At 43.9% G+C, this 23,261-nt stretch overlaps 1 long non-coding RNA gene and 1 other non-coding gene across 52 annotated transcripts in view, besides 11 other annotated features; both read left to right on the plus strand.

Annotated features, from left to right (window-relative positions):
• Positions 1 to 23,261, plus strand: part of PVT1 (Pvt1 oncogene) — a 306,733-nt gene that overhangs the window by 249,600 nt on the left and 33,872 nt on the right. The window lies entirely within an intron of this gene.
• Positions 598 to 2,069: an enhancer, noted in NCBI's record as "fragment used in the MYC e3 reporter construct". NCBI's record gives its function as "activates a MYC promoter by reporter assays in K562 erythroleukemia cells {active_cell/tissue: K562}" and the evidence as "EXISTENCE:reporter gene assay evidence [ECO:0000049][PMID:27708057]".
• Positions 1,088 to 1,589: a transcriptional cis regulatory region, noted in NCBI's record as "e3 or promoter|chr8:129057045-129057585 region (GRCh37/hg19 assembly coordinates) targeted for CRISPR interference". NCBI's record gives its function as "positively regulates MYC gene expression in K562 erythroleukemia cells {active_cell/tissue: K562}" and the evidence as "EXISTENCE:mutant phenotype evidence [ECO:0000015][PMID:31784727]".
• Positions 4,108 to 6,224: an enhancer, noted in NCBI's record as "fragment used in the MYC e4 reporter construct". NCBI's record gives its function as "activates a MYC promoter by reporter assays in K562 erythroleukemia cells {active_cell/tissue: K562}" and the evidence as "EXISTENCE:reporter gene assay evidence [ECO:0000049][PMID:27708057]".
• Positions 4,372 to 4,555: a silencer, noted in NCBI's record as "fragment chr8:129060741-129060924 (GRCh37/hg19 assembly coordinates)". NCBI's record gives its function as "represses an EF-1alpha promoter that drives an FKBP-Casp9 reporter gene in an ReSE screen in HepG2 liver carcinoma cells {active_cell/tissue: HepG2}" and the evidence as "EXISTENCE:reporter gene assay evidence [ECO:0000049][PMID:32094911]".
• Positions 4,744 to 5,289: an enhancer, noted in NCBI's record as "H3K27ac-H3K4me1 hESC enhancer chr8:129061113-129061658 (GRCh37/hg19 assembly coordinates)". NCBI's record gives its function as "activates a minimal SCP1, AML or CMV promoter by ChIP-STARR-seq in naive H9 embryonic stem cells {active_cell/tissue: H9 hESC(naive)}" and the evidence as "EXISTENCE:reporter gene assay evidence [ECO:0000049][PMID:30033119]".
• MIR1207 (microRNA 1207) lies at positions 5,029 to 5,115 on the plus strand. The gene has a single exon (NR_031612.1). It is a non-coding gene; the product is annotated as a microRNA 1207 (primary transcript).
• Positions 5,168 to 5,420: a transcriptional cis regulatory region, noted in NCBI's record as "e4 or promoter|chr8:129061305-129061825 region (GRCh37/hg19 assembly coordinates) targeted for CRISPR interference". NCBI's record gives its function as "positively regulates MYC gene expression in K562 erythroleukemia cells {active_cell/tissue: K562}" and the evidence as "EXISTENCE:mutant phenotype evidence [ECO:0000015][PMID:31784727]".
• Positions 17,686 to 18,333: an enhancer, noted in NCBI's record as "OCT4-NANOG hESC enhancer chr8:129074055-129074702 (GRCh37/hg19 assembly coordinates)". NCBI's record gives its function as "activates a minimal SCP1, AML or CMV promoter by ChIP-STARR-seq in naive H9 embryonic stem cells {active_cell/tissue: H9 hESC(naive)}" and the evidence as "EXISTENCE:reporter gene assay evidence [ECO:0000049][PMID:30033119]".
• Positions 20,918 to 21,419: an enhancer, noted in NCBI's record as "H3K27ac hESC enhancer chr8:129077287-129077788 (GRCh37/hg19 assembly coordinates)". NCBI's record gives its function as "activates a minimal SCP1, AML or CMV promoter by ChIP-STARR-seq in primed H9 embryonic stem cells {active_cell/tissue: H9 hESC(primed)}" and the evidence as "EXISTENCE:reporter gene assay evidence [ECO:0000049][PMID:30033119]".
• Positions 20,918 to 22,232: a biological region, named in NCBI's record as "MED14-independent group 3 enhancer GRCh37_chr8:129077402-129078601".
• Positions 21,033 to 22,232: an enhancer, noted in NCBI's record as "MED14-independent group 3 enhancer chr8:129077402-129078601 (GRCh37/hg19 assembly coordinates)". NCBI's record gives its function as "activates an origin of replication core promoter dependent on BRD2, BRD4, P300/CBP and CDK7 cofactors, and independent of MED14, by STARR-seq in HCT116 cells {active_cell/tissue: HCT116}" and the evidence as "EXISTENCE:reporter gene assay evidence [ECO:0000049][PMID:35650434]".
• Positions 21,420 to 21,919: an enhancer, noted in NCBI's record as "H3K27ac hESC enhancer chr8:129077789-129078288 (GRCh37/hg19 assembly coordinates)". NCBI's record gives its function as "activates a minimal SCP1, AML or CMV promoter by ChIP-STARR-seq in primed H9 embryonic stem cells {active_cell/tissue: H9 hESC(primed)}" and the evidence as "EXISTENCE:reporter gene assay evidence [ECO:0000049][PMID:30033119]".

Genomic DNA, 23,261 nt, shown 5'->3' on the forward strand with positions numbered 1-23,261 from the left:
CAGGTATGAGTCACCGCACCTAGCCCCAAACATCTTATTGGACAAGCCTTTCTTGGCCACTCTATGCAGACAGCACCCACCTCGCACCTCCATCTCCCCTTTTTTTTTCTATCTTAATTGATCACCATAGCACCTATCATCATCTGACCCAGCATATAGTTACTTGTTTATTTGTTTGTTGACAGTCTGACACCCCCAACCCCTCATGAACCCCAGGAATGCAGAGACTTCTGTTAATTTTATTAAGTGCTTTATTCCCTGGAAAATGGTAAGTGCCTACTAAATATTTGTTAAATGCATAAGTCTCTATTTTGGAGATGACCTCCACACCCAGCCTCAGGCACAGAGATGTAAAGTAACTTACTCAAAATCACCCAGCTACTGACAGGCAAATCTGGGCCCAGAGCCCATGCTCTAATCTAAATCATTACTACCTCCCTGCTGGTAACAAACAAAACCTCAGCACAGTGCCTGCAACACAGTAAGGACTCAGTAAATGTTAAATAAAGGTAATAATGCTTATAACAACCATCTTTGCCCCCAGAAAGATCCTTACCTTGAGGAGATAGCAAGGATTTGAGATGTTCAATATAAAATACCAAGTATGGTGCCTGTGCATAGTTGGCCATCAATGAGTGGTGGCTATTTACTATTATACTTGTTATTTTATTATACTTTAGCACATTGTGTTGTACTTAAATACCACTTGTTTGCCCTACTTATCTTTGTCCCTCCTGAGGGTGCGGAGTGAGCCTTATTCATTCCAGCATTCCTACAATCTTGTACATCCATACAATTCTTGATATGTAGTTGACATACACTACTGTAAGGTACATGAATGAGTAAGTAGATAAAGGAATGAACAAATGGACCAGTGGTTTGTTGGGGCCACTCTGGCCAGTGGTTTGGGGACATGCTTCCTGGAGTCTTATCCCCTCTTGTCAGATTCAGGTTTAGGACAACGGTACAGTTGTTCCATTGTTCCCAGATAACATATCCTATCTTAACGTCTTTGCTGGGGCAGCCCTTGGACACACCCTGAGCTCCTGCCCTATCACTGGCCCCACTTGTACCCCTTGTGGGCAGGCACCACGGCAGCCTGCTCTGAAGGGAGCTTTCATGTGGCCGACCAACTCTACTCCTTGACTCCTCCCTTCTCTCATTGAAAAAAAATGTTTAAGGGGACATTTCTCTCTCCTAAACTTTTTATGTTCCATTGAAGACCTGGAAAACATGTTAAATAAAAATGCTTTGCCACAGCTGACCTATGTCTTCTGGCTTGTACCCCACAACATCTTATCTAATGGGTAAGTCAGTTCTTATCTTTATTTCACTACTGAAGAAACTGATGCATAAGTGTTATATGCTTTTTAAGTTACGTAGTATTAGTGAAAGAGCCTAGGGCCAGAACCAGCTGTCTGCACGCAACCCAATGCTTTTTCCACAAGAGTTACCCACATGGCTGTATTTGTTGGTATTTTCTACCCTTACCTGCTTCCAGAAGACTTTGGAAGGGTGTGTTACAAAAGCAGTGATCCAGGGCAACTTTCAAGTCTGTTAGCTCCTTGTGACAACCGAGCTGCCCTGTAAGGCGTAATGAGGAGCGGCTTCATAATGAGCTGAAGTAGTTCTGCAGATGACACTGCTCAAGGATGGGGATGCTTTCCTCTCTGCCATGTTTTCCTTTCCTGTTGGATTTGACTCTTAGATCAGTTGTTCTAAGACTGGGTTGAAGCTTGGAATTGCCTAGAGGATTTTTTAAATCCTGCTGCTAGTACCCCAGCTGCAAAGATTTTGATTTTGTCTGAAATGGGACCTGGGCATTTGGATTTATAACATCTCCCCAGGTGATTCTATTATGCAGTGGAGTTTGAGGACCACAGTCTTAGAGCATCCCTGTTATAGGGATTCTGGGGACTAACAAGAAGCTACAGACCCCAAACTATTTCAGATGTAGTTCCAGCCCTCCTAAGCAAGTGTTAGCTCGAACCTTCTCACTCTTGCTCAGATTCATAGCTGCTCACCTTTCAGAAGAAATGACAATGCTGAAAGAGGAAACCAAGGGGACAAGAGAGATGGCAGCCATCCCAACAGCTGTCTTGTGTTGTGCCCCTACTGTGTGCCAGACACTGTCCTAAGCACTTTACTTATATTAACTCATCCAGCTCACAACCAACAAAATGGCCCTAAGAGGCCTCTGCTGATATCCCCGTTTTCCAAATGAGAAAACTGTCCACGGGGTCGGTCAGTAACTTGTTCAACCTGGGAATGGCAGAGCTGGGATCTGAAGTCCGGGAGCCTGGCTCCGTAGGCCTCTGTTTAAGCCACTGCATCTGTTGCCTTGTGGAATGTTCTTAGAACTGTAGGATACTGGTTCCCACATGGCCGAGAGTCTTCTCTCACTAGTTCGTGCTCCATGGTGATGGAGAAGCATAGTTCTAATCTGTCATTCTGTTGCTCTGGAGCCTACACAGCCCCCCATCGCATCTGGAGGGAGAAGCCCAGCTCCTTAGCACAGCACCTGAGAAATACCCTTTACAGTCTGGCCACTGGCTGAACATTCTTTCACTCTCCATGCCACACTGCTCTGTGAGTACCATCTGAAGGTCCTCTCCCTTTTCTCTGTCTTCTAAATGTTCACTCTTCAATATCTAACTCAAATATCCTCTTCTCTAACTTGTCCAGGAAGAATGAGTAAGGCCCTTTCCTTTGTTCCCCAGGCTCTTAGTTTCTCCATCTCTAATCACGTAGATTACAGCCCTTTCTTTGGTTTTCTCCAGGGGACCAAGGAGTGGGGCTCTGCCTTTCTCATGTCTGCTCTGCCTTCACGGTCCCCCACAGTGTCTTCAGTGGATGGCCAACCTCTCATGAACAGGATGTCCTCTTGTCTGAGGTTCTACTTTGTTCCAGCCATGGAGTCATACTCTCTTTATCTTTTGACTATCCAAAGGTGTTCTGTTGGACGACTGATGCCTTCCTCCAAGGTACTTTGGGCTCCCAAGTGTGCAGTTGACATTTGCTGTGCCTTCTCCACCAGGCTTTAGTTTTTGATGTATGCTGAGCTTCAGTGGAGATTTGCTAGCCTTGGGCTTTCTGTGTTCTTGAATCTCTCAGAGTCCAGAAGAAAAGGAAAGCTGACACTTTCTAGGAATGACCTGTGAGAAGAGAGGTTGGTGTCTTGCTGCTAAGTTCCGCTTGATTCTGAACTAAGTCACCATGGGCCAGAGGAGGCAGGGATAAGAGGAGTGGTTTCTTGGCCACCAGAATGGAAACGTTTTTGTTTTCTTGTGTGCTTTTGTGGAAATGGTGGCAGTTGCTCACTAAAGAGAACTAAAACCCTTTTACTAGAGCCCCACCAGGTCTGAAGAGGATGGGCGCGTGGGAGCCATTATCTTGTAAAGGACGCTATTGAGACCTTGCTACTGCTGCAGTGAAGAGCACAGGAAAAGCCAAGCTTAAAAAACACTGGGCGAATCCTAAGAACTTTTCATGCAGAAACACATGCATGATGAGAAGAGAATCTTCATTACAACATTGTTTGACACAGAAAAACGAGACTCAGCTTAAATGCTCATTAGTTAGTGATTGGTTGATTAAGTTGTGATAAAATGGAACACTAATACAGCTGTTTAAAAAATTAGTAAAAAAAAATCAGTATGTGAGATGATGCACCTGTTAATTAACTCAACTTAGCCATTCCACAATGTATACATCATTCAAAACTTCACATCATATATTATAAATATATACAATTTTTATTTGTGAATTAAAAATTAATCTAAAAAAATTAGTGGCTATATGAAGTAATTGGGAACAATCTTGAAGCTATATTAACTACCAAAGAGCAAAGTCAACCTTAACAATGCTGACTTTTTAAAGAATAGTGCCTAGAACACTGTGTGGAGTATGCTAACAGCTACACACTAATGCACAGCCACCAACCCCAGATCAGTTACGTGAACTTCTGCATTCACAAACACACTTAACACACTCTGTGGCTATTGCCTCTTTACTGACCTGTAAGTCAGTTCTAGAAGACAGACGATCCATGAAGGCAGGTCCTAGCCTGCCCATTTGCATTGGTATCTCCAAGGCCAAGCTAGAGAAGGCACACAATAGGCTTTCCACTAATATTTGTGAATGAATGAATGAACAGAGAGAGGAGTTTTCTTTCCACAGTTTCCTTCTACCTGCTACTCCTTGAGCATATGAGGCTGGAATCTAAGCCCTGAGGTCACTCACTGCTCTCCTGGGTACTATCCCTGGCCTCCCGTCCTTTTCCTTGAGCTTCTGTGCTCTGCAAGGCTTTCTCATTATCCTTTAGGCTACAGAGAAACAAGGAGACGGGAGAGCCTTGAAATGGACCTTCAAGATTACAATGTGTAGCTGACATTGTCAGTTAAGTTGGGCAGATCTGACTTCGCTGATTAAGTGGATGTATGAGCCGATCCTCCCCAGAAGCTGGGATCAGCTTCCCCATCTGATGGTGAGTCAGACCTGCTGGGGTTTGGGTCCTCGCTCCAGCATGGCTGCCTGTGTGACCTTGGCCACTTTACTTAACCTTGCTGAATCTCAATTTCCTGATCTGTAAAGGAAGCTAAAAATGCCTCTCTTGAGGTTGTAGTGAGGATTAAATGTGATAGCATAAGTGAAAGTGCCCTTTGAAGAAAGAGGAAGGCGAAAGCGCTTATTGTGTCAGGAGAAATGTGTGGAGAGCCCCCTGTTGTTCTCAGGTGTCTCATCCTTCCCAGGGAAAAATCCCCATGCCAAGTCAGAAGAGGTTATAATTTGGCTCTTACTCTTTTATTCAGGCACTTCTTTCGGCTGCCCAGGGTTTTCAGCTTAAGCAAATAAATTACCCTTCTCCACTGGACTCTGTGTTCTGCAGCCAGCCATATGTTTAAGCTTGATAGAGATTTTTATCTGGCTTGGTAATATTACCCAGCAAGGGATGACATTTCTTATCAGAGGCCCTGAGGAATCAGAGATAGGAGCCCTTTCTTTTTCCTGGCCGCCAGGCCTCCATGTGCAGGGCTGGCAGGGAGGCTGGGAGGGGCTGGCTGGGTCTGGTAGTGGGCATCAGCTGGCCCTCATTTCTTAAGACAGCACTTCTGTTAGCTGACCTACACAGAAGCAGGTCATTTCGAGATGTTTGCGTCTTGGAGCCACTGATAGAAGCAGGGCAAGGGAGAGTGAATGAGGAAGGAAGGCGGGAGTGTGATGACGCATGCCCAGCTTTGCGCGGAGGCAGAGCACTTGCCTGTGTGGGGCCCTGCCCTTCTCTTGAGAGGCAGGCGGGCCCTAGCTGCAGCGTCAAGGTCTGGGGATTCTGTGGCTCTGTAGGGTGAAGGGCACTGGAGACCTACCAGGGGCTGGGCCATTGGAGTGGTGGGTGCTGGGGAGCTTCCGTGGGCCCCTCCAGGTCCACTCCTTGCTCTTCTCTGCCTTGTTTTGTGCCCAGAAGGCTGACCTGTGTGGATGCATTATCAGGGTGGATGCAACACAGGGCTGCCATGCTCTCTGGTATCAGTTTGGAAGGCACTGGCAGGATGGGAAGGCAGGCGGGGAGTGAGGTCAGGGGGCCTATCCTTCCACTGCCTCCCTGCTGCTCCCTGACTGATTCAGGTAAGGTTTACACCGGGGCTCTAGGTTTGAATTTTGATTCTGGCATGTACTTGCTGTGTGATATTAGGCAAGTGGTGGAACCTCTCTGTGCGTCCGACTTCTCATCTATAGTAACGCTTTTGCATTCCATTGATCTCTTTGCCTCTCATTTGCCCTGAATGCTGAAGGAAAGGACACTGCTGTATCCCCTGAGGGACTGTCTGAGCCCAAAGTACACTGGGGACAAGGGCTTCAGGGTGGGCAAGGAGATGACCGATGATCACGTGATTTGGAACTATAGCCTCCATTGGAGACACGTGCTCTGGGCTCTTTCCCTCCTGAGTTTTGGGAAGTCCTGGCCTGTGCAGCCTAATTCTCAAGTACTAATCTTGCAATCATAAGAAGAGGAAGGAGAAGTGGTTTTCCCTCTCCCTGGACCCATTCCAGCCAGCAGTTCCTGACTTTGCTTCCTTCCTGTTGGTGCCCACTCTGTTTCCTTCCATCCCTTCCCCAACCTCTCCCATCCCATGCCTCATGTTGGGCAACTTGAGTTTAACTGTCTCTTCTTCCAGTGGCCAAGTCCAAATTCTGAAAGCACAGTTCTGACCATGTCCCTGTCCAACTCAAAAACAGTAGCTCCGTGTCACCCACAGGCTTGAAGTCAGACCTCTCAGGGGGCATTAAGTCCACCGCAACATCACTCCAGCCTGTGAATAAAGACTGAATGCCTCCGAGCCTCTTATGTGGGGAATCAGTTCTGGTAAACAGGTCTCACTTCTTGTCTTTTAAACACTACTTGCTTTCCTTGACGTCTGTGCTTTGATCCCATTGTTTTTTCTCCCTTGGATGCCTGAGAGATCCATGGGCTCTGGCTTCAGAGAGTGCTGGGTTCAGACCTCAGCTCCAACAGTTGCTGGCTCTGTGACCCTAGGAATGTCACCTCACCACTCCAAGCCTCTGTATCCTTGACATTAACCTGGGCTGATAGTTCCTACCTGCAGGGTTCTTGTGAGAAGAACCTGTCTAAAGGCTCCTACTGGGGCTTGACTTGTCAGATAAATGAATGGGGTTTTCCCTAACCTTCTAATTGACTACCCCACTGATTATTCAAACTCCACCTGTCCTCAAGTTCCATTCCATCATTCACTTCCTCTGTGGGTTTTTCTGCCACAAAGTCATCTTCCTCTGTTTGAAAGACTCTTAGTTCCTCATGTATGACAGCAAGAGTGGACCTCATCTCTTTCTTTTTGTGTCTGACTTCCCAGCACAGTCTCAATTTCTTCAGGGCATTGACTGTGGTGTAAGATTCTCAGCTTGAGCACTGGAACCATTTATGGGACGATTGAGTATTCAACTCCAAGAGAATGAAAGAGAGTCACTTGTTCTTTCATTGAACGAAATTGATTGAGTGCACATGATATGTTGTGTCTGTGCTTCACACTGGAGTTGTAAGGATGCATAAAATGAAGATTCTGTCTTCACATAGCCTATCATCCAGTGAGGAGGTTGCATTATTGGGAATCTGTGCCAAGCCTGGATTGCATAAGACATAGGTAGCTGAGAACCTGGTGCTGACTGGGGACTGGGGGAAGTTCTGTGCCCAAGGAGAGGAGGACTCTTCCCTTCAGATGGATGCCCATAATTTTATCTTTAACTTTTAAGAATTTGGCTTTAATGTGCCTCAATGAAGACCTCCTTATGTTTAATAAATTACAAATTATTTGGACTTCATGGATTGAGATGTTTATTTTCCTCTCCAGATTTGGAGAGTTCTATGTATTTTTTTCTTTAAATAAACTTTCTATCACCTTCTCCTCTGCTTTTATTCCTCCTCTTGAGTTCCCATAATGTGTATTTCAGTTCACTTGATGGTGTCCCATAAGTCCCATAGGTTTTCTTTTTCATTTTTTTTTCTTTTTATTCTTCTGACTAATTTCAAATGGCCTGTCTTTGACCTCATTGATTCCATCTTCTGGTCGATCAAGTCTGCTGCTGAAGTTCCTTATAGAATTTTTCAGTTCAGTCATTTTGCTTTACCACCAGAATTTCTGTTTGGGTCTTTTTTTATGGTTTATCTCTCTTTGTTGAACTTCTACTTTGTTTATGTATTGTTTTTCTGATTTTGTTGTTTATGTTCTCTTTAAGTTGAGTTTCTTCAAGACAATTATTTTGAATTCTTTGTCAGACAATGTATAGGTCTCAATTTCTTTAGGATTGGTTACTGGTGCTTTAGTTTGTTTTTTAGTCATGTTTCCTTGTCTATTTGTAACCCTTGGGGTCTTGTGTTGATGTCTACATATTTTAAGAAGTAGAGATCTCTTTTATTCTTTACCAATTAGCTTTGGCCAAGAAAGCTGTTCACCAGTCAAGATATTTTGGGTGGATTGGCTGGCAGGGTCTGAGGGCAAGTTTACTGCTGGAATTCTTAAGCGGGCTGGCCTGGTGCCTGAGTCCATGGGTACAGGCCTAGATTCTGGGTCCCTGGGGGCCAGACTGGCACTGAGATACAGTGGGATGGCTTTATTGACTGTGTTCATGTCTGTAGCATGCGTCTGTGAAGGCCAACCTGGTACTAGGATCTACACTGATGTTGGGTGCTTACTTCACTCTCCTTCCTCCACATGAAGGGTTTCTCTCTTCATGCTGCACTGTGCTGTCTTGGGGGAAGGGTGATGTGAGTGATGTGAAACTCTTATTCCTACCCTTTTCAATGCATCTTTTATTATTTCTATGCTCCACCCAGCTGCTGTAATTGCTCATCTGGATTTCTTAGCTCTTGTGAAGGTATATTTTTCATGGGTGGTTGTTCAAATTGCTGTTTCTATGAAGGGATAGACACTGGAGACTACTATTCTGCCATCTTGCTCACATTACTCTTCTCTTCATAGTATTATTTAAAATGATACATTTAGTTTTGTTTATTTCACATCTGTATTCCTTCACTAGATTGGGATCCTGTAAGGGGAAGAATGAGGTCAATTGTGTTTACCACAGTCATAACAATAAAAACCAGTGCTGTTGTCACACTATGTGCAGGGCACAGTTTTAAGTTCTTTATGTTTACCAAATTATTTTATCCTCATTAGACCCAACTGAGATATACTGTCACTTCATTTTACAGATGAAGAAACCAAGGCACACAAAGGCTAAGTAATGTGGTCTAGCTCTCCTATGAAGACAGTAGATGGTAAAACCAGGATTTTAAACCTCACAGTGGCTCCAGGATTTGTGTATCTAACCACTCTGCCAGACCTTTCTAGTGCTTTCTTCTAGTAACCACCCCAGCAAAGATGCTCAGCAAATGGGTGGTGCATGAAACAAAGGGTCATTATCCTATTTCTTGGGTAAGTTCTCACTGCAGTTTGTGCTCTGGGCACAGAGTTAACAGCATAGTAAAGAGGAGGGGACCTGGATCTAGGAATTTAACACAGCTAGATTGAGATCTGAGCTCACTCATCACTAAGTGACTATGAGCAAAGTGTTTAACTTCATTAAGTCTTGGTTTTGTTAGATCAACATGGAAGAAATGCATTAATAATTTCCTATTAATCTTACATTAATGGTGGAAAAAATGAGAGTATAGATTATAGTGGGTGCTCAGACAGTGTCATCTGCCATCTTGGAGGGCTATATATACATATATATATACACACACACACACATATATATGTATTTTATATATATTGTATATATAATACCTATATATGTGTATTTTATATATATGGGTATTATATATATAGGTATTAATATATATAGGTATTATTATCAGCTTTAGCTTTTTCATCCATGAGATGAGAATTTGATGTAGTCCTGCCTGATGTCCACACAGGCTCCTCAGAATGGCTTTGTTTTACTAGAGATGTTACCCCTAGGAAACAAGCTCAATCCCTTGCCCCTCAGTGGACTAGAGGCAGCATGTTTATGAGACAGGAAAGGATGTGAGTGATGTGAGTTTCTTAGCTGGCTTTGGAACAGAACAGAGGCTCTTTACGATGATGCCAGTGCTCCTAATTAATTATCATAACAAGTCTCCTGTTCTCAGCATCTGTCAGCAGGTACAGCTGCACCAGCACAGTGGACTGGCTGAGCAACCAGAAGGGTTGGGGCAAGGCCAGGCCAGGGCAGCCAGCCTGTATCTCCAAGTGCCCAGCTGGTTCCGTCCTTGTATCTGACAGGGCCCTCTGATCTTCCTGCATACAATGGATTGCAGGGAAAAAGAAACTTCCTGGCCTGATTGACACAAATTTGTAGGAAACAGCTGCCTTTAGTGGGGACAAAAAAGCAAAATCCAGTGTGAGTGATAACCTCTTGCCAGTCTGGGTTCTGGGTTGCATATCTGCTGGTGACTATAGGAGGTGGTGGGAGGATGTGAATTCCTACAAATGCTAAGTTAGCATCCAGTGTGTGACAACAGGGTGAGAATCTCCTATTGGTTCTCCCAACAAATAGGAAGAGAAGAGCCTGAGTTTTGGGGGTTCCCAAGTTTTTGAGGTTTCACCAGTGACTTACTTTATTGCCACCAGGAAGTGCATGATGCACTCTGTACCCCACTTTCTTTGTAGTGGCAAAATGGGATTTGTTAGATTTTTTTCCCACAGTTGAAAGGAGGTTGCTATGGCAATGACCTGTGCCTAAGATGAAGTTGAAGAGAAGTATGGAAAGAACTTGACAGTTCTTTGCAGAACAGCAAGCTTACATGGAGAACTGAGGCTCAGAGAGGTGAGGTATGGCCCAAGGTCTCACAGCAAGTTGAGGGTAAAGCTGGCTCCTGGAACCAACCATGGCTTCCTAATTGTTGCCATCCTCAGTTCCTTGCACCTGTTGATTGAAACACTGATGGCCTGCTTCAACTGTGTCAGTTCTCCTTGTCTTCTGGGCTCATTCCTTGATGGGTTCAATGTGGCTGGTTGCCTCTTGCCACATGATTTGGGCACTCCATGTTTAATCTGACAGATTCTGACTGCAGTTTTCATTTATTTTGCTGCTTGTGTGAATCATGACTGTGACTGGGAATGCTGGGCCCAGGTTTTCAGGGACACAGATCACAGAGTGAGAGAAATGCCATGTGATGGTTAATTCCATCTGTCACCTTGGGTAGTTACCCAGGTTTTCCTTAAACACCAGTCCAGATGTCACTGAAGGTATTTTTCAGATGAGATTAACATTTGAATCAGCAGACGTTGAGTAGAGCACATTATCTTCCATAATGTGGATGGGCCTCATCCAATCAGTGGAAAGCCTTAAGAGAAAACACATGAGGTTCCCTAAGGAAGTAGAAATTCTGCCTCCAGGATGCCTTTGGATTAAAACTACAACATCAAGGCTTCTCTGGATCTCCATCTTGCCAACCTGCCCTGTAGAATTTAGACTTAACAGTCCTCACAATTGTGTGAGTCAATTCCTTATAATCTCTCTATGTCCCTACAGACACACACATGCACAGACACACACACACCCACATACACACACATTCTATTGGTTCTATTTCTTTGGAGAACCTTGATATTACATGCAAGCTTTGTGTTTATTTGTTTTATTTTTATTTTAAAAACCTTGGACATCATAATATGCAGACTTTAGAATGAGACAGATTTAGGTATGACTCCAAGAACTGCCAATGCTGAGGGTAAGTTACTTAACTTTTCCGGGCTTAAGTCTCCTTATCAATAAAATGGAAATAATATTAACACCTCCTACATTAATGCCAATAAACACTAAACAAGACAATGAATGTAATGCACTTAATACACTGCCTGGCCTAGTGCTCAACACATAATGCTGCTTATTCTAAAATTTATACTTTACTGCAAGCCATGTAGCTGCATGAATCAGTTCTCTATTTGCTGCACATGAAACCATAACAAAATGTTGTGGCTTAAAACAACTTATTTTTCTCATAGTTCTATAAGTTGGCTGAGCTCTGCTGGTGGTTCTTCTGTTCCACATGGGAGCATTTGGAATCGGTGTGTGGCTGCATTAAATTAGGAGTCTGGTGCTTCAGCTGGGGTGACTGGAGTGGCTGGTGGCATCTGTCTTGCCATGAGGTCTCTCATCACGAGCAGTCTAGCTCAACCTTCTTTATGGTAGGTTGGGTAGCTGAATCCCAAGTGGATAGATGTGAAAGTTTCCTAGGACAGAATCATTTCCATCACCTTCCCCTGGTAAAGCAGCCACAGACCAGCCCAGACTCAAGACAGGGAAACCAACTCCAACTCTTGATGGGAGAAACAATATGCATGTACAGAAATGGGAGGACTCATATCACTCACTACTGGACACAGTCCACCCCAGGCACAAGTTGCTTTTCAGGTTTATGACTCTCAGCTTCTACTCTGCTTAACCTCTTGGGTTGGTTTGTAATAATGTAGTGACCTCTGAACAGAAACTCTGGAGCCAGTCTGCCCTTTTCAAATCCTGCCTCTGCCACTGACTAGCTATGGGACCTTAGGTGAGTTTCTTATTTCCTTCATGCCTCAGGTTCCTTATAAAGGAAATGGGGATAATGTTGGTACTGAAGTGGAACTTGTGTGAGGATTAATTGAAATAGGAGTGTGTGTGTATTCATGCCTATATGCATATGCATGCCTGTATACATGCGTTCATGTATTTACATTTGAATGTGCAGGTATGTATACTCATATATGCATACATATGTGTCTGCGTATACACCTACATATGTATATATTTCTATATACAATATATATTCATTGCGTGTATACATAAAATTGCATGCATAGCTCGCACAGATGTTTCCTTGTTTATACATATGTTTGCAGCCTGTACACGAGTCCCAGGCTGCTTTAACCTGGGCCCTGCCCCAGTGTATTTGAGAAAATTTTATCACTGTGCTTGAGAACTGGTCTTCAGCTGGGTGTTGAACTGGGACCTCCCGAGGCCAATGCCTAGTGCCTTCTCCACCACACGAATGGTTGCCAAGACTGCCCTTGGGACGCATCAGAAGTATATCAGTGGGTCTTGGTAAAATGCAGAATCCTGGGCCCCACCCCAGGCCTGCTGACTCCAAGAGATTGACCTAGAATCTGGTTATTTCACGAGTTGCTCCGGGGTGATTCTGATAGAAACGTCATAGGCGCTTCTGATCGTGGCGGGTCCCTGGCAGCCCATGCTTGCCCCAGCAGTATCTTCTTTACTCTCTGGTTAATTCATTTTCCTTTCCCTCCCCAGAAAAATTGAATGCATTCTCTTCATGCACAACCATGATCTCAGAGGAGTGCAGAACACAGGGCCAGTTTCACATTTGGAGTTTTAGTTTAGTTTAGCTTCCCGCATCATTGAGAAAGACAGGGTATTCTCACCTCACCACTTCCAGGCTGAGCTGACGTCAAGTTTAGCTGTGAGATAACCAGACCACCCTGAGCTTCCCTCCCATTCACAGTGAGCTGATTTACCCCAGGTCCAGCTTCTGGGTGATATGACCTCATTGCTTTGTAACTTCCCCGAGGCCTTCCCACTAAGAAAATTACAACTGCTCTTTATTGAGCATTAATACTGTATACAAACGTTGCTTTTCTTATTACTTACCATGTAGAAAAGGTATTATTACCCCGAAGCTAAGGGATAATAGCTTACAAAAGGGCACAGAACAAGGATTCAAACCCTTATGACCTAACCGGAAAAACCCCTTTCTCTTTCTACTATACTGGCAGGGAGATATGTTAAGATTTGTTTTCATGGCCCCAGGTCCTAAATTCTTCCTAAATACTTCTCTTTAATATATGTGAACAAAAACCTGCAGGGATATTTTATCCAATTTCAAATGTACAGATTGTCTTTGGGGTTACAAACAAGCACCAGAAAGTCAGGAGCCACCCTGGCACTGGCTGACGTGGGAGGTACAGAATGAGGTGTCCGTCCCTCCAAGGCACGGTGACCTAGAATCCCACTGCTCACTGCCTGTCTCTGTTCAGCCTTTCAGTTCATAAACATGCTTTCCTCCCTGCATTTTGACATCCATCATCGTTTAAATTCCAGGTCGTCATCCTTGTAGAACGAGGTTCGGATCTCGGCATTAAATCTCCCCCACGGTGTGTGCGGGGCCTTGCCATTTGCAGAACACTTCCTGAGCCTTGGCTTATCCTGACAGCTGCGAGAGGTTACCCTGTTTGTGAGTGAGGAAAAGAAAGGCTCACATGGTGGTATCATTGGCCTAGCTTTCAATCCAAACACTAGTCTTACCATGGATACCAGAAGGTCTTCCGTCAAATTGATCAAAAGCTGATTGTGTGAGGGTGTAAGCCAACCCTGAGATCAAATTAGGGTAAGAGGCTGGACCCTTCATCAGGAGCTGGGGCTCCTCTCTGCAAATACTGTAGAACATCAGCGTCACTGAATGAATGGAGTTGGTTACCTGACCAGCTTTCCTACTCAACATGGAGCTCTGTCTGTCTCATCTCTCTCGATTCTTCAGTGCATAACCCAGTTCCTAGCTTGTGATGGATCCTTCCTAAGGATGTATTGGGTAAATTAATGAATAGTGATTCGACCTAACCAATTAAATCCCTGGGAGTTTTAAACTCTTGTCCAACATCAGTTTTATTTCACGTCTTATTATAAAACAGTACATACCTCTTCCAGAAAAAGTGAAAAACCCTTATATCACTTAGATGTAACTAATTAAACAAACTGATGCATGTGTGTGTGTGTGTGTGTGTGTGTGTGTGTGTATAGTTGTATGGTGGTATATATATTAGTTTGTAAATAGCTCTTCTACTAAATACATGATAAATATACTTTGACATCATCATGTGTACTTCTACTACATCACCATTTGACTGCTTGGACACCAGACTTCACCGTTGTTCAGACCTAAGTGGCAAAACCCTTTGTATTTTTCTAAGTGTCTAGGCAGACATTTAGGAAATGAATTCAACTTTGGCACTATTATAAACAGTGTTGGTATGAATATTCCTAAAGCTAAATCTTTGTGAATATGTTTTCCTACTTTATGAGGACATATTCCCATAAACTAGAATGGCTGAAACAAGGGCTGGTTAGGCTATTGAGGTTGCGGAGTTTCCTTTCAAAAAGTGGGGACCAGTGTCTCCCTCCACCCCCAGCATGACAGACGACCATGTCCTCGAGCCCTCCACAGCAGGGCTTCAGGGTGGATTTACCTTTCCAGCCTCATCTGTTTGGCACTTGGTATTGCACCAGACGCATGGCTGTTCTCAGGCCATCATCCCTTCTTTAGAGGGTCTCCTTCACTGCTTACTGTGTAGTGAGTGCCCTTTTATTCCTCCTTCCAGCCCTTGCTTTGTGCAACACACATCTCAGATGAATTAAATCATGATTTGTCTTGTTTGGAGGGGAGCCCAAGTGAGTCAGTTCCCTGTTGTGTCCCGGTGGCCAGCACATATTTTATCATGGATAGAAGCAATGGCTCACGTCAGAAAGACCTGGATTTACAATGACTCTGCTTCTTTTCTCGCCTGAGTCCTGGCTTTTTCATGTGAGAACCCCCTTTGTACAATTATGATAAGGTTTGAATGAGATATGGCAGGGAAAGGCTCAATACGCAGCTCAACACAGGTGAATGCTCAGCCATTGTTGCCCAGGCTCAATGGCTGGGCAGGGCAGTTGACTATGTGTTGGACACTGTTTACGTGTCCACCAGGGGTGGTCAAACTATGCCTCATGGGCCAAATCTGTGCCCACCACTGTATTTGTACAATCCTAGTGTGAAAAATGGTTTTCACATTTTTTAGTGGTAGTGAAGCAAATCGAGAGAAGAAGAATATTTTGTGATATATGAAAATTACATGAAATGAGAATGGAAATTTCAATGTCCATAAATAACATTTTATTAAACATAGCAGACCCTTTTTCTTAACATATCTCCTATGGCTGCATTATGTTACAATGGCAGAGATGACGAGGGGCAGTAAGGCCAGGTGGCCTCACAATGCCCAGGATATTGAGTATCTGGCACTTTATAGGAAGAGTTTGCTGACCCCTGGGTTACATGTGTAAGCTCATCCAATCCCGCATAGTGTTGGCAGTTATCATACCATCCCCATTTTACACATGGGGAAGTGAGATGCAAAGAGGTTCAGAAACTACCTGAAGCCACATGCAGCATGGAAGTGGTAGAGTTGGGGTCTTGTTCCTAGAACTGGGACTCTTCATCGTTCAGCCATAGGGTAAGTCATTGGTCTTTGCAGGTGAGGGATTGTGAGGCAGGAAAAAAGAAAGTCATGCACTAATGTATGGTAGAATAAGAATTTAGAGGCTGGGCGTGGTGGCTCATGCCTGTAATCCTAGCACTTTGGGAGGCCAAGGCGGGTGGATCACAAGGTCAGGAGATCGAGACCATCCTGGCTAACATGGTGAAACCCCGTCTCTACTAAAAATACAAAAAATTAGCTGGGTGTGGCAGCGTGCACCTGTAGTCCTAGCTGCTGGGGAGGCTGAGGCAGGAGAATGGCGTGAACCCAGGAGGCGGAGCTTGCAGTGAGCCCAGATAATGCCACTGCACTCCAGCCTGGGCGACAGAGTGAGACTCCGTCAAAAAGAAAGAATTTAGAACCAGGTTCGTTGGCCTCAAAGTTCTTGGTCTCGCTCTCATGATGAGCTCCTTCCACCACTCTAGTCTCCTAGGATCACCTGCTAAACGCAGGGCCAGACACACAGAGGCATTCAAGATATCCCTATAAATGCAGCCACTTCATAGCAATGTCAGGACTAAATGTGGTTTTGTACTTCCTACTAAACATGAGCTTAATAAATGTTTGTGGAATAAACAGATGAATCTGATGAATAGTTCCTGGACTCTCGGAGTTTAAACTCTGGGAACAGGGCAGGGACTCCTGAGGAAAGCAGACAACTCCTCAACCTTCTCATGGGAGGGAAGGAGACCTTCTTTCCTGAACACCAATTATGCTTCCCAGGTGGCATGGGGTCCTTAGGCCACAATGCCAAACACTTTTGCAGTTAAACTTCCGATGAAGGAAAACTGGTCTGTCTTCTCTGCCCATTACAATTGTCTTTACTCTTTTTGATTCTGAATGTTCTTTTTTCTTTAAACAGCTTTGTTAAGATATAATTTACATACCGTACAATTTACCAATTTTAGAATATTTTCCTCATCTCAAAAGAAAGTCTGTTCCCTTTAGATATCACCTCCCAATCTCCCTTCTATCCCCAGTCCTAGGCAACTACTTTTTTTTTTTTTTTTTTTTTTGAGACGGAGTCTCTCTCTGTCACCCAGGCTGTAGTGCAGTGGCGTGATCTCGGCTCACTGCAACCTCCACCTCCCAGGTTCAAGTGATTCTCCTGCCTCAGCCTCCCAAGTAGCTGGGACTACAGGCATGTGTCATCACGTCCAGCTCAGTTTTGTATTTTTAGTAGAGACGGGGTTTCGCCATGTTGGCGAGGCTGGTCTCAAACTCCTGACCTCAAGTGATCTGCCCCTTTCGGCCTCCAAAATGCTGGGATTACAGACGTGAGCCACCATGCCTGGCCATGGATTCGCCTATTGTAGACGTTTCACGTAAATGGAACCACAGAATATATGGTCTTTTGTGAGGAACTTCTTCACTTGGCATAATGTTTTCAAGGTTCATCTAAGTTACAACATATACTTCATTCTTTTTTATGCCCAAAGTATATTCCATTGTGTGAATATATGCCCCATTTTATTTATTCATTCATTAGTTGATGGACACTGGGTTGTTTCTTTGGGGGTGGGGCTGTTATGATTAATTCTGCTCTGAAGGTTCGTACAAGACTTCGTATGGAGGTATGTTTTCATTTGTCTTGGGCATGTGTATACCTAGGAGTGGAATTGCTGGGTCATATGGTAACTCTATGTATAACCTTTTGAGCAACTGCTAAAGTCTTTTCCAAAGTGTCTACCCTGTTTTACATTCCCACTAGAAGCTGCTCGTTCTTGGGCTCATTATTCGTGTTTATCTTTAAACACAGAACGTGACTCCATTCATATGACGGTGCTAGAAGTCAGTACAGTGGTTTTCTCTGGGACGATGGCAGAGGAAACTATGAAGGGCCCAGGAACACTTTCTGGGAAAGGGAAATGTTCTGTGTCTTGCTGGTTTGGTGCATTTGAATACTTGCATTTGTCAAAACTCATCAAACTGTTTATTTACAAATTGAGCATTGCACGGCATGTGACTTATGCCCGATTTTTTAAAAAAATGTACAAATGAAAAAACATAGAAAGAGAGGAAAAAGCAAAATATCTGTATTTTAATTATCACATGACCTGACTGGCTGCTTATCTTACCCACCTTCCCATGGACACAGGGCCAGTGCCTGGCAGGCAAGGCCACGTGCAAGAAAAGCTCTTAATTGATGTGATTAACTACATCTCAATAGGGAGCCTGGTTAACAACAGGGGAGTGAAAAGGAGGCTATTTTTCACTCTCCCAACTGGTGAATGCCTGGAAGGGGTGATGGGGGCACTTGGAGGGCTGCCCCCTGCGGTGCAGGGGGAGACAGGACAGCTGCTTTTTCCTTTGGCATTAAGATAATTTTAAAAAATTATTTTCTCTCAATTGCTACAAAACCTACTCTTCATTTTCATCTATGAGGAGGAAGAAACCAAGTTAATTTTTGTTTAGTGTGTTTCTGAAGGCCACATTATCTACCAGAACACAACATTTCCTAGGATACTCTTTAACCCTTCCTAAATGCACCTGTTCAGAGGAGCAGGCAACAACAGGAAACAAACAAATAAAAAAGAAGTGAAGGATTTCCTCTTTCCCCCTTAGAAGGTGGAAAGAAATGTATGGATTGACATAAATTCACAGAAGGTGAGAACTGGGCAAGCAAACACATTATCCATGTTCTTAAAAAGGCAAAATTATATAAATTTTGATAAAATTTCTAAAATAGTATCATGTCATTTGTAGGCTAGAAAAAATATGTATTTGCTAGTAAAAATATAGACCTATAAAAACACCATTACTTGGGGGAGGATGTGGTTATTTGTGTATTTTTTTTCTTATTGCTAATCTGTGATTTATTTTTTTCCAATAACCACTAGTTGCTTGTGAATTAAATTGTTGAGAAATTACTTGGGTTGTTATTTCTGATTTGAGAGATCAGTTTCCTCAGTCTCCCCCTTTCTAGAACAGGCTTCCTTCTCCCATCCCTCCTGTGTTTAAAGCTAGGGAACTTTCAGGCAGCACTGCACAGGGCACTGAATGTGAACTTTGTGGTTAGCTGGGTCAGGGTTTGATCTTGCAGTATCTGGGGCAAGTCACAGATCTTTTCTGTGTCCTGGTTTCCTCACTGGAAGAAAGGGACAGATAATGCTCTCCCCAGTGGATTGATGTGAGACATACTAGGAAATCCCTAGCACAGTACTTGGCCTTTTGAATTAGTTTACCCTTTCTTTCCAACCTACCCCTTTATCCTGGTCTTTCCTGGCACCATGAAAACCAGCACTCAGCAGTACAGTTTGATGACTTCTTATTGCTAGGTTTCATCTGTAATCGTTGCAGATGCTTAAATACACACGCAGGCCAGGCACAGTGGCTCAAGCCTATAATCCCAGCACTTTGGGATTCTGAGGTGGGAGGATCACTTTAGGTCAGAAGTTCAAGATCATCTTGGCCAACATGTTAAAACCCCATCTCACCAAAACTACAAAAATTAGCCAGGTGCGGTGGAGGACGCCTACAGTCCTAGCTACTCTGGAGGCTGAGACACAGGAATTGCTTGAACTCGGGAAGTGGGGATTGCAGTGAGCTGAGATTGCACCACTACACTCCAGCCTGGGCAACAGAGTGAGACTCTGTCTCAAAAAATAAATAAATAAATTTTGAGATTTATGTGTGTGCCAGACACACACACACACACATATGTACACAAGCAATTTTTGTGTGTGTGGCTCAAGCCAGGCAGAGAAAGACAAATACTAAATGATCTCACTCATATGTGAAATCTAAAAAAGTTGATCTCAAAGAAGTAGAAAGGAGCCTGGTGGTTATCAGAGTCTGGGGAGGGGGTTGGGGAGATATTGGCCAAAGGATATACAATTTCAGTTAGGTAGGAGGAATAAGTTCAAGAAGTCGATTTTGACTATAGTTAATAATGTGTTGTATTCATGAACAAGGCTAAGAGAGTGGATGTAAAGTGTTCTTACCACAAAAAGGATAACTACATGAGGTAATGCACATGTTAATTAGCTAGATTTAGTAATTCCATAATGTATCCACTGTGTCCTTCAAAACATCGTGTTGTAAATAGTAAATACATACAATTTTATCTGTGAATTAAAAAAAAAGATTAAAGAAAACCCCCATCCCCACGGATGAGTTAAGACTGATCACTGACGGAGCTAGTATGTATTACTAACCAAAGCTAGAACTCATTGCCGCAAGCATCTGGGTGACAGCGCTATTGATAGTCCTTCCTGCAGTACCCGTCCCTGGCAGAAACACCTTCAGTCTTCAGGCTGGGTGCCCAATGATATGCTAGAAATATTAACTCCTCCTGTAAATCACCAGAGGGGATGCAGTCTCAGACTGAGTTTGAGTATTGTTTTCCGGGCCTGGAGGAGGGGCTCAGCAGAGAGCGATTCATGGTTTTACAAAATGTATTTACTCTGGTGGAACGTGTGGGCTCACGTGGGCAGAAGCACATTTGCACACATGCAAAATGTAAGCCATGCACCGTCATCTTTTCACCCTTGTTTGGTCACCTTTTAACCCTCCTTCCTCCTCCCTAATTGCCTCCCCCAGCCCATTTCCTCAGCCTCTTTTTATGGCAGTGGTTTTCAAACCTCAGTTTGCAAATGATCATCTGGGAAATGTGCTATAATGGAGATTCCTGGGTTCCCCCAACAGATTTTCTAATTCAGTGGTTCTAGGGTGGGGCCCTGCCTGCAAATGACATTTTTACCGAACATCTGAGAGAGTCCCATTTGACCAGTTAAGTGCTATAAACAGAATGTCTGGGACTTACTGATATTTCAAAGACCCACAAACAAACTTGAGAACAAACATGTAAAATTCTTAGCTGAAAAATATGAAAACAAAACTGCAAAATAGAAATAGTTATACTGTATGTTTTATAGAACTTTATGTCAACTTGTCAAGTTCGCCTCAACTTTTACAGTTACATAGGAATTATTTTTTAATGAAGGATATGAGTGCAATTAATGCATTTGATACAATGTGTGTGAGGCCTACAAAAGCCTTATAAAAGCTGTCACCCCATGGACCCTGCTCTGAGAAATATGCCCTTAGATGATTTCTTGCTTGTAGCATTTTAGATCTGGAAGGCCCCTTAGAAATGTGCTTCTTCAATACCCAGATTTTACTATCAGAGAAACAGAGGCCTACAGGGGGAAGGAATTGCCCAAGTTTACACAGCAAGTTCCTGAAGAGGCCAGACTAGAGTGAAGCATTTACAATGTACGTGCATGTGCATGCGTGTGCAAGGGCTGGTTACATCCCTCTCAGAAGTCTCTTCTTTTTTATTTTTTATTTTTTTTTGAGACACAATTTCACTCTGTCTCCCAGGCTGGAGTGCAGTGGTGTGATCTCAGCTCACTGCAATCTGTGCTTCCTGGGTTCAAGGGATTCTCATGCCTCAGCCTCCAGAGTAGCTGGGATTACAGGCACACGCCACCACGCCTGGTTAATTTTTGTATCATTGACAGGGTTTTGCCATGTTGGCCAGGCTGGTCTTGAACTCCTGACTGCAAGTGATCCACCCACCTCAATCTTCCAAAATGCTGGGGTTGCAGGTGTGAGCCACCACGCCCAGCCAGAAGTCTCTTCTTCATTTCTCTTTCACTCTGGCTGTTTTTTTCCCTTTGGTCCCTATGTTCTCAGGCCAGTCTGAAACTTGGCCCTGAACCCTGAGGGTAAGGGAGAAAGGTTAGTGGGGGGATCTCAGGGTTGAAATCAATAGGCATAGTATCTGTCAAGACCAGTCTTCAGCTTCAAGTCTTCAGCTCTCAAGTCCCTGTAGGGGGAAAGAGAGAGGAAATGCACCAAGGGGGGAAGAAGTGCTGAGTCATGTCACTTCAAGCAGACACAAAAAACTGGCTAACTTCTTAGCAGCCCACTGAGTTCCGACAATGTGCTGGACATTGTGCACACTAAATTAAGCTGACGGAGTCCCTGCCCTGTGGAACCTTTCGTTCATTCACCTACTCATTTCACAAATATTTGCTGAGAGTCCTACTGTGTGCCCCACACTGCCAACAAGGCAGATAGGGAGCTTAGAACCTAGTCTGTGACACAGGCAACAACAGATGACAGATCCATAAACAATTAAGGCATTTCAGTTAAGATATTTCAGATAGTGACAATTACTATGAAGAAAATAGAAGAAGATAATGAGAAGGAAAGTGGCTGGGTGCAGAGCATGCCATTTTAAAATAAGTTCTTGCTAGTTGAATGGATGAATAGTAAATTCCATGTGACCTGAAAGGGGATATACTTAGGCCATTTATTGTTTCTGACTCTGCCTTCCACAGGGTAAGACTGAACTTTCTTACCCATTGTGAGCAATTCTGGCCAAGGAGTAGTGAGCAGAATTGACATGTCATTTCTGGCCTTCATGTTGGAATTCTAGTGAGAAACCCTCCAGAGGTCATTCTCTCTTCTGGCCTGCTGCTGATCAGTGCTATGTGTAGAGGCTGCCACGTTGGCCTGGTCTGGATGATGCTGAGATTGAGCATGATCTCAGGTTGACCTGTGATGAACATGCAGCTGAAAAAAGAAATGAATCTTTGTTGCTTTAAGCCACTAAAATTTGGAAAGACATGTTAGTGCAGCATAACAGCGTCACTTCTGACTAATACTAATACAACCTGCAAGGCAAAATAAGTTTGAACTGTCACTCTGGATCCATTGGTAGGGGTTTTCTTGGCCCTGAATGGGAAACAACTCTGAGGTCCCAACTGGGCCTGGTAGGAAAGTGGGCTCTAATGACTTGGTGTTGACCACCACGCCTGTAGGTGGGAGGTGGCAGCTCTGGTACCACATGCCTGTCTTCCTACTTTAACTTTCATAAAAGGTTCTTACCAGGATCTTTTTCTAGTCTGTCCTGAGCATCTATCCTCACAAATGACTCTCATCAGCTGCACTGCTTTATGTGGTCTTCACTCGTCTCTTTCCTAGTGCAGATTCTTCTCATTGGGTTTTAAGGTTCTCAAAATTCTGACCCTAACACACCCTCCCTCAGGGGACTTCTTGCTGGCCACTGAGCATCCAATACCCCTCCCCTGCTCTAGGCCTTCATCACTGAATGCTATCCTTTCACCCCACCCCCTGCAAACCTACCTGTCCTGTGGGTATCCTTTAAATCTGGCTCTCAGAGGACTTTCCTTTGCAGCCACAGTGACCCTGCTCTCCTGAACCCAGACCACACAGTGCCCACACTCAATTAATCTTTGACAATCTTGTTTTATCTTATACTTCATTGCTGCATGGTTATCTAACAATCCTCATGTTGAAGTCTCGACTCCCTAACTCGGTTATACACTCAAGGAATGGCCTGGGTTTTGCAATTTCTCACTGCAACGTCTTGGTGATAACAGGCACTTGAGAAATAAGTTTTTAAAGAGTTGATTGGATTGGTGATGTGGGGCTAGAGAGTAGAAGGGGAAAACTGACGTGGAGTCATCTAATGGGCATTGTCCAGCCCATTCTGCCTGT

Source organism: Homo sapiens, chromosome 8 (assembly GCF_000001405.40).
Source record: "Homo sapiens chromosome 8, GRCh38.p14 Primary Assembly".
NCBI lineage: Eukaryota > Metazoa > Chordata > Mammalia > Primates > Hominidae > Homo > Homo sapiens.